The sequence below is a fragment of the Homo sapiens genome, chromosome 15 (genome assembly GCF_000001405.40).
Source record: "Homo sapiens chromosome 15, GRCh38.p14 Primary Assembly".
In the NCBI taxonomy this organism is placed as follows: domain Eukaryota; kingdom Metazoa; phylum Chordata; class Mammalia; order Primates; family Hominidae; genus Homo; species Homo sapiens.
The window spans coordinates 39,123,427-39,137,247 of record NC_000015.10 but is presented as its reverse complement, the minus strand read 5'-3'; the positions used below and the strand labels follow the sequence as shown (position 1 = coordinate 39,137,247).

The window sequence follows — 13,821 nt, the reverse complement described above, 5'->3', positions numbered from 1 at the left end:
AAATGCTATCTTAAAAACAGACAAAAACAACTGAAGATTTTAACTTGTAGGCAATAGTATGATCATTTTTAAATAGAGCAGTATGTAGGGAGATGTAAAAAGGTCTTTCCATAGAGACTGCATTAAAAGAGGGTGAGAATTGAGACAGGGAAAAGCTTTAGGAAGAAGGAAAATCATCACAGCGTGAGAAAAGGGAAAACTGGTTTGGAATAGAAGGGAGAGACCTTAAAGGAAAACTGTGTGGAATTAGGGATTACTGGATACTACAGATGAGAGGAAAGAAACGTCTTTCTTTTTTTTTCAAATTCTGGAAAAGATTGTATCATGAATTATATGAAAAAGGGAGTTGGTTTTGGTATAGAATGAGGAAAAGGATAATGAGTTTATTGTGAGTAGTTGAAAGTGAGAGTAGAATATTCTATATCAGTTGGGGTTCAATCAGAGGCATAGAACTGGTAGGAGCTCTCTCTCTCAATATATCACATCTATATATCTTAACACTTACATATGTATGTATACATATGTATATTTTATATTTTGTTTACATTATATAAACTTACATATGGATTTACTTGTTATGTAAGATTAGCTCACACAATTGTGAGGTCTGGCTAGGTAAGCCTGAATTCCACAGAGCAGGCATCAGGAAGAGATTATCATAAGCAGGCAGGCCCCATGAGCTTCAGCTGATGCTTGAAGTCCACAAAAAGAAGGGAAGGTCCAGGGGAAGGGGGAGCATGCTGGCCTGTTGGTGTGTCTGATTTTCACGGAAGGCCTAGTCCCTCTCTAAATGGCTTCTGCTTAATTAAGTGAGGCACCCAAGGATAATCTCTCTTTTGGTGAACTCAAAATCAACTGATTTGGGGCTTTATTTACATCTCCTCTTACTGGAGAATTCAAACGGTAGTTTGATTGAGTCACTGGTAGAATGTGCATGTCTTCATCACTGCCTCCCTCCTGCACCCTAACTCTCAAAAGAGAATGTTTCTTGTAGCCTAACTCTAACTAGAAACACACTAGAAAGGAAAGTCGGGGAAATGTGGTTCAGCCTAGCCAAGCTGACACATCCCAAAGCCATCACACATTCCAGTGGTGATGACATATATGTTATGAGAAAAATAGACTGAAAATGAGTAAAAGATACACATGGCCGGGCGCAGTGGCTCATGCCTGTAATCTCAGCACTTTGGGAGGCTGAGGTGGGCGGATCACCTGAGGTCGGGAGTGCGAGACCAGCCTGACCAACATGGAGAAACATGGTTTCTACTAAAAATACAAAATTAGCTAGGCGTGGTGGCACGTGCCTGTAATCCCAGCTACTCAAGAGGCTGAGGGAGGAGAATCGCTTGAACCCAGGAGGTGGAGGTAGCAGTGAGCCCAGATGGGCCACTGAACTCCAGCCTGGGCAATAAGAGCGAGACTCCATTTCAAAAAAAAAAAAAAAAAAAAAAAGATGCAGGCAGATGATAAGGATTTGAGTTAATAACAGAGAGCTGACAGGTAGATTAGGAAGCAGGAATTATTCATCAGGAAAAAGAAAGAAGTAAGAGTAAACCTTGTGCAGTACCCACAGTGAGGCTACATCAGGAGGAACATGAGCAGTAAAGGAGCAGTGAAGCCAGCATGGTAGGAGAGAGCCACTAAAGGTTAGGAATGCAGAAGGCAAGAGCGCGTATACTGTCAGTTACTCTCCTGCTTAGAACACCTAATGAATCCATGTCGCCCGTCAAATATCAACAGTATACACTGAAACTGGTATTCGAGGCCCCTCATGCAGTGACCCCACCTAGTTTTCTATCTTCGCCCTCAGCCACTCTTCCATACTCATGACCCCTCTGCTCTAACCTTACTGGACTTCTATCTACTTTCCAGCCACAACTTTGATGCTTGACATCTTCTCTTGGAAAGCCCTTCCTCCTTACCTAGCAATCACCTATTTATTATATGTTGTCTAGTTCAAATACTGCCTTCTGTCTTTTGCCTTCTCCAATCCTCATCCTCCATACTGTTCAGAAATTAGAATTTCGTGTCTTCTTCTGCTAAACTACTTAAGCTATAAACATTAAATTACCTGACTCCTTCACTCAGTTTTAAATTTCTGAAGGATACAACTATATGATATTTGCATTTGATCCCTAGCCTGTAGCATGATGCCTGGAAAATAGTAGTTTTTTTTCAAATGAATGAAATAAAATAATGATTGAATGAGTAAATCCATTAAATATTGAATAGAGGCCCTTTGGAAACTATGTTCTCCCCTCCCCCTTGTTATATAACTCAGAGACTTGAGGAATTGTATTCTTGGCTGCCTATGAGAAAGCAAGTCATCATTTATTCATTCGCCATTGATTCATTTTTTTTAAATGTAAGCTTATCTTTTTGAGAAACATATAGGAAAGGTATTTGAGGGAAGGTTTGACTTCACATTGTCCCTCAGTTAACCTTAACAGTCACCTTAACCATCAAGAAAGACTACTTGTTAGATGTAAACAAAACCCTAAGCTGCTTTTCAAGTTCCCATAGTAGGTGGCTGAATCTAAATGTGAGGAAGGTGTGGACCATATTCAGGTAGGGGAGTTCAGGTGATCTGAAAGCACAGGCCACAGAACTACTCATGAGGTCTTGATGCCTCTAGTTTTTGAAGCAGATCAAAAGGACATGTATAGCAAGCTCCGGAAATGTCCAGAAACAATTCTGATTTTATAACCTCCTTTCATCTTTATGACTAAAATTAGCAAGTAGGACCAAGGTTTATGCTGATGACCTCAGCATAAATCCTCAAAGTTTGCCACAATCAGAAGAAAACATTTCTAGGTTGACAATTGTCCTGTGTTCCTTGTCCCTTCCTGTGGCACTTTCTTGTGCCCAGTCATAGTTTGTTCTAACTGCTGCTAATTCCTCATAATTCTATAAAGTTTTCTTCAGCAGTAGATTGTTAGACCCTGGTCATCATGCCCCTATGCTGTCATTGTCCAAATACTGTCAAAATTGCAAAGGAGAGACAAGAGATGCCCTGTGGATCATCCAAGTGCCAAATATATCTCCCCTGACTCCACTGTGATAGAGCATCACCATCTCCTCCTTGTGATCAAGTTCATTTACCCTACTAGGGTGGTGATTCCTTTTTTGCCTGCTGGTCCCTTGGCCAAGGAACCTGAGTGACTGGGTGAGAACCATACCTTAAGGTTTCACAAAACTCTTGCTGTGTCTGTCCCCTGGTAGAAATGTTCCTCCTCTGGGAAACAAGATCCCCAACATTGATCCAGCTTCACAGGTGATACTGAACTTTATTCTTAGCAAGGTTCACACAAATATATAACAATAATTAGGTCAGGCTATTTTTAAATTGAAAGTATAATGAAACCAGAAATGACAATCTCAACAAAGAAAATTCTAGAATCTAGGTAGTGGGGCATAGGTGATTTGAGAAGAAGAACCCAGAGATGTGGGTTCAAATCCTAGCCCTGTGGCCTGCTATCAGTGTGAGGGTGGACAAGTTACTAAACCTTAGCTTAGTCTACTCATCATTCAGAGTCAGTACTTTCTACTTGACGAGATTTTTGTGAGAACTAAATTAGAGGGTTGCACGGAAGAACCTATACTAAGTAGACTTCAATTCAACAATGCCAGGCCCTTCCACTTTGCTTTCTAAGATTATGCAGGGGGTTCTCAGCAGGAAGATGATGTGCTTGCCATTCTACTTCATCTATGCTTCCCAACCCCCTCTTGCTTCTCACTTAATCACAATCCAGAATGACCTCTGGAAAAGATAACCTAGGAAACCACAAAACAAATATAGAAGTGTTTAAATTTTCTCAGCAACAAAAATAGCCGGGGTGACTGGTCTTTCTCAAGACTCCTTGATGCATGACTAAGAGAATTTTGAAATGTCTTTTAAGTTTTCCTACTAGGGATACTGGTATTTCCCCACCATCCCATTTCTGTTATCCAAAGAGTTGTGCCATTTCTCAGAGAAGTTTTCAAACCTTCTTTATGCAGCTATGTTTGGAAATGAACTAATCTTTTTAGAGTGCTGAAACATGATATGTATGAGTTTTAGAGTCCCTTGATGACAGTGAATATGTAAATGTATGGATACATGCATCATATAAGGGATTATATACTGGAAGCAAGAATGAAGGTGAGAGTGAGAAAGCGAGAGAGCAAGAGAGCTAGAGAGAGAGAGAGAGGTGGTGAAGAGTTTTCTATGATGATACATGGTTTAAGCTGGAGGTGGGGGTGAAGTTGCCTAGTGGTTAAAGCTTTGGCCTTGAGTTTATATCCCAGCTCTGCTCCTCACTCTCTGTATGTCCTTGGCACACCTCTGAAACTTTCTAGGCCTTGTCTCATCTGTAAAATGGAAATAATATTACTAACTACTGGCTTCATAGAGTCATGGAGATGTGGTAGATGCGATTATGAATATTAAATGCTTTGTATTGCGCCAAGTATAAAGTAAGCACTCATTATAGAATTTATTGTTATCTGTTCATGGGACTTTCTTTTGTCTTCCAAAAAAGCCATCCCAATACTAAACTTAATTCTTGCAAAGGAAAGGACCGCCCCATTTGAAGTTTCTCACTGTTGGCACATTTGCTGGATAAAGCTTATTTCACTCAACATCCATTTCTACCATTTATTTTACCTATTTGTATCTGGAAGACTAAAAATGACATTTCACAGACTAATGTGCAACGAGGTTCTGGATGTGATATAGTTTTACCAATGAAATGGGCATTCTACCAATGTAGGGACCGCCTAAGGGAGCTGGGTCTCCTGCTGCTATAGGGGCTAGTGGGCAAGGTCAGGAGAGGGAGAACATTTTTGGAGGTGGAAATCCACATTCCAGAGCCAGGTGGCCAACCCGTGGGTGTCACACAGTTGGGGCAGTGGCCAGAGTGGAAGCAGCATAGCAGCTCTTTCCAGTCTCAGCCCTGTAACTATGGTGATGCTACCTTGAAGAAAGTGACTTCTCCTCCTCCAGCCCTTCCAAAGATTGTGCAAGCACCATTGTGTGAAATCTCTCTTCTTACATATCTGGAGCTATTTCCAGTTATGTTACCTGAACTCTGAGTGACGTAGCACCTATCTGAGCTCTTTCTGTGCCCTTTACCTTGTTGCTGTGGTAGCTGATGAGACTTTGGATAAAATGGCCCGTGTCCTATCTATTGACTGCTAGGTGTAGGCATATGATGGGCATTGTCATAAAAAACAAAAAAGAAAAGAAAAGAAACAAGTAAAAACAAAACCCCAAGCACCCAAATCCAATCCTTTCCTTCACAACACTTTGCAGAAATAAGGCGTCAGACTTATTAAAGACTTTTGTGCTTTTACTGAACCACTTGAATTCTTCATTAGCCTGTGGGGACCGTTAAAAAATTTGAGTCAGCAATAGGCCACTCCTAATGAATGTGATTCATCCAAGTTTGGAGTGAGAGTGCGTACTACTAGTGACAGGGTCATTGTCAGCATGTTTTAGATTGTCCTACTCTTTTGTTTGGGAAAACCTGTATACTTGGATATGTGGACTCACCACATACTGTTTACTCATCTGCTATTTTATACATTTATTCAGTAATTCAGTAGCTATTTGCTGAATGCCTGCTAATACAAATAGTTCTGTCTAGGTACGAGGGACACAGCAGTGGACAGAACAGGAAAAATGGAAAAATCCTTGTTTACATGGATGTTACTTTATAATGGGGGAAGAAAGACAAAAGACTCTTTAATCAAGCAATTAATAAGAGAATGTGAGGTAGTGGTAAAGGCTATGCAGAAAAACAAAATAGGTAGGCACAGAGTATACTTTTGTTAGAATAAACAAAGGAGACCCCTCCGATAAAGGTGGAAGCTAGCCAAAGACCTGAATAAAGAGAGGTGGCAAACCATTTGTGTATTGGAGGAAGCACACTCCAGGCAGAGAGAATGGCAGCACCCATGCCCTGAGCTGGGAGACTGCTTGACAAGGGTGGGTCAGCCAGAAGGCCAGAGAGTGGAGTGAGGAAGGAGAAGAGCAGCTGGAGAGGAGGCGGGTGCTTGTGAGTCCTGGGAGGGACCTTTGATTTTAAGAGTGATGGGAAACCATGATGTGGAGTGACATTACCTAACTTACATTTGAGGATCATCCTGGCTGCTGAGTGGAGTAAAGGTTTTGTATTCAATGGGAAATAGACTTTGTGAGAGAGATTTGAGTGCAGGTGGTTGTGGAGTATGTTTGGGAACAGATTGTGTAAGGAGTGAAGGAGGCAGGAATGGGCAGAGGAAGAATTCAAACTGTGATTGAGTTGATGTCTCAACTGGAGGCAAAGGTGGGGGCGGGTGGTCAGGCCTTTGTAACCCCTCATCAAACAATCATTAGACATTGGCTGCCCCTGGAAAGGAGGTGCAAGCTTGAGTGAGGCAGCTCCCTTTTATGAAGGTGGATTCCTGAGAAGGGACTAAGTTGTGAGCCATCAGGAAGTGACACTTCCAGCAACTGGGGGAATGAGTGGCTCAAACCTTAAGGGGCATTTGGGTATCAACAACAATCAACCCCCGTGCCATCTGCATCCAGCTGCTTCCTGTTTCTTCATCCCATCTGGCAGTAGCTGCTCTAGGATTCTTACTAGTCTGTTTTTCCAGGGGAAAAAACTGGTCTCTTGACTATAACTAAAACTTACCTTCTTTACTACCCATTCTAGCTTCTCTGCATTTGGCTCACTCCTCTGCTGGCCCAGTAGCTTATGTAATGGAGAGACTCAGACACTCACTCCTAAGGGGTCCGAGCTCTGGTCACCATGCCCTTCTGGTTGCCCATGTGCTGTCAAATGGGTCAGAGGATAACCAAGAGATTCCCTGTGGATCACTGGGTGCCAAATGTGTTCTTCCCTGACTCCACTGTGATAGAGCAGTCCTGCCTCCTAACAAACAGGCTCATTTACTTCGACTATGGCAGTGATTCCCTTCCTTGTCTGTTGCTTTCTTGGCTAAGAAGCTCAAGGTGACTGGGTGGTTGTTGAACTATAAGGTTTAATAAAACTCATATGTTCCTTGGTGGACGTGTTCCTTCTCTGGGAAACACAGACCCACAAAACCTAGAGTGGTGGTGATGGGAAGCACAGATTACCCAAGTGGGTCACTGGGAGTGAAGGTAAGCAGAGTTACCCTTATTTCTGCTATGCAGTTCCCATATCCATGTATTCTTCCTTTTTGATAATACAGCATCATGCGATGGTCATTGATTTAGGGTACGTACTTCATCGGCAAGCTGGTACCAGAGTTGCACCTTCACAAGGACAGTCCACAGCACTGCCAGGTCAGAAGTCTCTGGGTACTGTAGCATGTGGTAGCTCCAGTGGATCCCATGGTCACTGCTGAACCTCTGATGCTGTAAAGTGGATTCTGCAGTTACGTATATTGCAATACATATCTGCAATTATATGATAGTATATTATGTTGGCTCTCATGTTGTTGGATCACACTCTCTCTAAGCCTTTGAATAACAGTGCTGGCTGAGGCCCTGCAGGGAGGAAAGGCAAAGCTAGTAGCTGGAATATGAGTTAAGTCCAATTAAGCAAAGCAAACCTCTTCCAGGATGAAAGTGATCCAGTGTAGTTAATTCACCAGCATGTGGGTGATTCATCTCACTTAGGGTGCTACCAAACTGGGGACTCCAGTTTGGTCTTTATGGCTGGAATATTAAAAACTTAGTGGCTCTGGAGTTCGAGACCAGCCTGGCCAACATGGCAAAACCTGGTCTCTACTAAAAATACAAAATTAGCCAGGTGTGGTGGCGCACACCTATAGTCTCAGCCAGTCAGGAGGCTGAGACGAGAGAATTGCTTGAGCCCAGGAGGCGGAGGTTGCCGAGATCACACCACTGCACTCCAGTCTGGGCAACAGAGCAAGACTCCATCTAAAAAAAAACGAAACAAACAACCAAACAAAAAACAACTTAGTGGCAGTAATAACCAAATGAGCTTTGGTAAGTGAAATCTCATACTGATGGGCCCAAGCATAGGCTCCACTCTTGTGACCATGGCTATTCTGTTAATACACCTGTTGTACCAGCTGTAGGGTGGACAGTGACAGAATGGCTGATGTCTTCCGGTCAGTACTTCTGCTGAAGTCATATGGAATGTGTACTTTAGTTCTAAAGGGAGACATTGCGGTAGTGCAGAACAGCATCAACTACACCAGATAAGGGATCATAATGGTTTCATGGATTGCATAGTGAGTATGAGAAAAGGGAGGAGGCAAGGATGACTCCTAGGTTTTCCACCTAATTATCATGGTGAATAGTGGAGCCACTCATTAGGTGGAAAGACTGGGGAAGTGTAATTTTGGAAATGGGTGAAAGGGTAAATGGATGGAATTTCAAGAATTTGGTTTAGTGTACATTCAGTTTAGTACACATTTAGTACACAAACATCTTGTGGTCATTTTGCCACTTTTCTGAAGGAGGTAGCATCTTAAAGATCAGTGTCCTAATGGGCGTTTCTTTTCTCCCAGGCTGGAAGAATTGAGACTGGTTGATTTTATTTTAAGCCTTTGTATAGCTCTTTGTGAAGATAACTTAGTACAAATGCTAAACAAGAGAGCATCACCCATTTGTTTGGCCTTTTCAAAATTTACATCCATCTAACTTGATCCAAACAAGCAACTTCTCTTTACCAGGAACCCCATAACTTGCTCACTTGGCACGCAAGGATCTCCTGTAGCCCACAACTGAGTTATTGCCACCACAGAAGGAGGAAGGGGAGGCTTGTTTTTCACTGTAGTGAGTTGGCCTGCTGCATGATTTCAGAGGCTGGGATTCAGCACACAAAGGTTACCTACTGTATTTAACCAGTGAGTGACTCATCAGGACAAGAATGTGGGTAAAGGGCCTCTCAAATGGTGACATTCTGCAGTTCTGCTCTTGTCTCTACAGCTATAGGCTGCAGTTGAAAGAAGAAAGGTGGCTCTTAGTGGACTAAAATAGGGGGCTGCATCACATATATACTCTGTTCATCCAGGCAGTGGCACATGACTTTGTAGGAGTGAAATGCACATTTTCCCAATCTAATTGTTTTCCAGAATCATTCTCTGTGTGGGAAATAAACCTCATCCTCCTGGCCTTAGAATTCTTAACATACTATTTGCTCTCCTAGGAGTTTTGGTACTTCGCCAAACTAATTGCTTATCTCAATGACTAAGGACAATTTAACAATAAAATTTCCTGGACTCTAATGCAGGAATTGCTGACTCATGAGGCCTGGAGAAAAACCCCAGAAACATATACTTTTGAAGGTAAACTTGTTTTTTTAAAGTATAACACACAGAAAAGTTCACAGAATTACATGTGTAAGTTCGAGTAATTGTCATGAAATGTGCATTCTCATTTAACGCTTTTTGTTTCCTATTTTGTAACTATATGTCTATTTCAAGGTCATGTTTTCTTTAGAATCCATATTTTTAAAGATCTCTATGATTCTGCTGCATTAGAGGTTTAAGAAAATCCAGTTTGGAGTATTTGAAATCTGTTAAACAATGTTATATACCAGAAGAAGTATCTCAGGTCTGAGTTAATAATAGTGAGGTTTGGTCCAATGTCAACAATGTCTTTCCTAAAGCACTAAGTGAAAGGGAGGGGAATTAAAAACCAAGGTCTGATATCATGGTCTGTTGAGGACGGATGGGGTAGGTGTAGAGTAAATGAAGAGTAAGTAACGTTGGATTGCTATGTCAAGAACAAAAACTGAGGAAACAGAGCCAAGCAGCTTTCCAGTTTTGGGTTCACAAGCTAAAAGGGGATAGAGCAGAATTTCAGAAAGAGAAGAGACTTGGGCCTTATGGCCTAGGCTATATCTGGGAGTGTCCTCCCTTGACAAGGGTCATCAGGATTAACCCCTCTGCACCCTCCTTGCCTGCTTTGAGAAAGGGAATTTACTCCACTGCTAGTCTATCTGCATTCTTACCATATTTTGGAAAGTTATTCTATTGTTCTATTACAGAGAAATCTTTGGCTAGAATTCAGTGGGATAGGCAGTAAAACATGTTCTTGCTTGGGAATGAAAAAAGACCAACAACAAAACTAGTTTTCCATCCCAGCTTGACCACTTATATTTTTCAATAAATTCCTAATTTTATCCTTTTAAACATAGGTACTGTTACCTTTGGTGCTGCTAAGACCCAAGCTCTGGAGTCAGACTAATAGGGTTCAAATTCTTGCCTGTGATTTTGGGCAAATTGCTTAATATGTTCCTTCATCTGTTAATTAGAAAAAATAATAGGGCCAGGCGTGGTGGCTCATGCCTGTAATCCCAGCACTTTGGGAGGTCGAGGCGGGCGGATCACCTGAGGTCAGGAGTTCGAGACTAGCCTGGCCAACATGGCGAAACCGCGTCTCTACTAAAAATACAAAAATTAGCTAGGCGTGGTGGCAGGCGCCTGTAATCCCAGCTACATGGGAGGCTGAGGCAGGAGAATCACTTGAACCGGGAGGTGGAGGTTGCAGTGAGCCGAGATTGCACCATTGCACTCTAGCCTGGGAAACAAGAGTGAAACTCCGTCGAAATAAATAAATAAATAAATAAATAAATAAATAAATAAAAATAATATCTATTTATTAGGATTGCCATGTGGATGTAGAATTGTTTGAAGCTCCTGGCACGTAGGAAACACTCAATAAATCCTAGCTACTATGGTGCTATACTCCTCACCTTAATAACATCTGCAATGTATTTTGAGTTCCTTTTAAGTAAAAATTATATAAATATATGATTAAAATATTATATTTCAAGGCAACATAAGTCATAAAATCAGAATTTCTTAAATATTGCCCACATCCATTTTTGGAATAATTTAACCTTCACCACTTATTCACTGCGGGAGAGAACTACGAATATTATCCAGTGACTATTACCCAAGACTTACAGGTCTGAAAGAATGTTGCCAGAACCTAACAGACATTATTATCAGGGAAAGTCATTCCTAACTACAAATGACAATGTGATGCTCCATATTAGCATTAAAGAACAGTAGTTGCATCCTTGTTCTTCTTCAGGTAATGAATGAGCCATCTCCACATTTTGGTAAAGTAGGTTATTCACCTGCAGGAAACTGTAAGACTAAATTCTGATTCCGCAAAGACCAGGAAGACCCACCACACAAAACCACAACTGCTCCCCCTGATGGCTGGTGCCTAGAATTTCACGCATGCATCTTAGAAAATCCCATCAGGCTAAAACAACTTTCCTATGAACATCAATAATGTGTCAGTCCATGGACACAGGAAGGGGAACATCACACACCGGGGACTGTTGTGGGGTAGGGGGAGAGGGGAGGGATAGCATCAGGAGATATACCTAATGCTAAATGACGCGTTAATGGGTGCAGCACACCAACATGGCACATGTATACATATGTAACAAACTTGCACATTGTGCACATGCACCCTAAAACTTAAAGTATAATAATAATAAAATTTAAAAAAAGAATACCATAAAAATAGATTTGAAAAAAAAATAATGTTTCAGCCATTAACACTCTCCTATATTTTATAGAGAAGCCTTAGAATAAAGGCATCTCAAAATGAAAGTTGAAGGGAAACTATAAAGCTGGAAAATACATTCAGGATGGGAGACACAGTGAAGGTCAGCTTTGCTGATTTCATAGTTCTGTGTGAATCCAGCACTGGTTACCTGTATACATTGACAATAATCATATGCTTACCCTAATATCTAGAATGGAGAAAAGACTATTTAGGGGGCTGGGAAACCCACTGTTTGTCAAACTAAAGAATGTTTGATTATCTTTCATGACTCCTCATACCATCTGGTGAGTAATAATGAGCTCATTCTACTTCATTGATTCCAACATTTGATATTTAAAAGTGGTAATAAAGACCTTCATTACCTCTAGCTAACTTGGATCTGACTATGAACTGTTTACAAAATTCCAGTTTTCAAAGGGAAATTCTTTTAGGAGAATGCTAGGCAAATGGTGGCCCACGTTGAGGGAGTAAATTGACTCTGTAGTCAGCGAAGTGATTATTTTTGTAATGGAGCCCACAGCAAAACCCTTTGCAGCACTCAGAAGTCATCAACAGAGCTTGTTCTTGGCAAACCAGAGCATTCTCTGCTTCAGAGAATTACTTTCTAATTACTAAAAACATGATACGGGAGGAACACATGTTGGCTCCAACCAAGTGTATAAGTGGTGGAAAAGTTCAGTGTAACTGTTCAGCGAAACTGTGAAGAAGTAGAGTCTATGGGACTGTTGCTGGGAACATAGGAGTGGATGGGAGCCAGGTTTTTCTTCTCTTTGTGGGATTTGGGAGTTAGGTTATATGTCCTGTCTTTGGAAATTAAGAACTGTTGATATTCAAGGATAATCAAGGAAAAGCACTTCCAGGAATGGGAAGGTACATAGGCTAATTGTATCAGTACAGCCTGTTGCCCTGTGGACTTTGGCTGCCGCGGCCATATGATCTAACTAAGATGTTAAAATAGCAGATGAACATTTGCTAGATGAAGTAAGTTTGTCCTGATGGCTAGTTCCACTCTTCACTCTCCTGATTGAAAAAAATGTTGGCTTTCCTTCACTGCGGTGTTCACTAGATAGAAACTAAAACCGGCTCTGTGAAGTGAGTGGGAGGGTGAGGAAGGAAAAACAGTCCAACTAAAGCAGCTGAAGTAGGAAAGGGTCATGTGAGGAAGTGGAAGAGGTGAATGCCCTGGAAAAGATGGATGGAGGCATTTTTCTCAGCCATTTCGTGGTTGGATTGGGAGACACTGAATTTGGAAAAGCAGTCAGACAGAAGCGTTCCGGATAGCCAAGCTGTTGGCGTACCACCGAGTGCCAATTCTCAGGGTGTTACCCAGTCATTCTTGGGGTTTGTTTAAACATGGCAAGAGTTCCTGGGAAAAACCTGAGGCCACATTACTTAGCCATTTGAACTGCGAGTCCAAAGTAATTTTTTAGCAATTACAGTAGCATATGTATTTGCAGAGCAAAGACGAGTCACCAAGTCAGAGGATGTCTGTTGTTCACAGTGTCAATATGAAACATCAGCATGCTCCTGTCTTAGTTATGGGAATTGAGCCCTGGTCCATGCTCCAGCTCTGCCATCTCCAAGGTAGTATCACAAAGCTAAATTGTGCCCCTGGACTTCTTCCTGGATGTAATCTAGGACTTGCCCTGGGGATGAAGGCAGAGTTATCCTTATTCCCACTTCTACTTCTGCCATTCCACTTTCTGTGATTACTTCGATGTTTCTCTCCCTACCTCTCCCCAGCTCATTTTATTCAGCTCATTTCCTTTTGACAAGTAACCATTCACTGACTAGCGAGTACCTGATTCAAGGAATACAAGATGACCTATAGTAACTTATACTCTGTTAAATCTAGATGATGTGACTGTAGAATGAAACTAAACATCAGGTACCTCTCAAGCACCATCTTCAGCAAATCTCAAGTTTCTTGACTGCCCACATGGATCTCTTTTTTAGACTTCATTATTTTTGTTCCTGTCTCTGCCACTCAATAGCTGTATGACATTGGTAAAGTTACCTAACTTCCCTTTGCCTCACTTTCTTCATCTTAAGATTATTATGAGGATTTAATGTAGTGTATGTAAGATCCTGTTACACAGTAAGTGTTCAATAAACATTATCTACTATTATGTTATCCTCTTTTTTTCACTGCCCATTAAGAAGACTTTTTTTTTTTTTTTTTTTTTTTTTTTTTGACGGAGTCTCGCACTGTCGCCCAGGCTGGAGTGCACTGGTGTGATCTCGGCTCACTGCAAGCTCCACCTCCCGGGTTCATGCCATTCTCCTACCTCAGCCTCCTGAGTAGC

At 41.5% G+C, this 13,821-nt stretch overlaps 1 long non-coding RNA gene across 3 annotated transcripts in view; it reads left to right on the top strand.

Moving 5' to 3' along the window:
- Positions 1-13,821, top strand: part of LOC105370777 (uncharacterized) — a 556,255-nt gene that overhangs the window by 283,813 nt on the left and 258,621 nt on the right. For 2 of the 3 annotated variants that reach the window (XR_007064587.1, XR_007064586.1), the window contains exon 1: positions 8,030-9,270. The exons of the other annotated variant lie outside the window; for it this stretch is intronic. This is a non-coding gene — a long non-coding RNA (uncharacterized LOC105370777). Of the gene's footprint in view, positions 1-8,029; positions 9,271-13,821 lie in introns of those variants that run through there. 3 annotated transcript variants of the gene reach the window in all.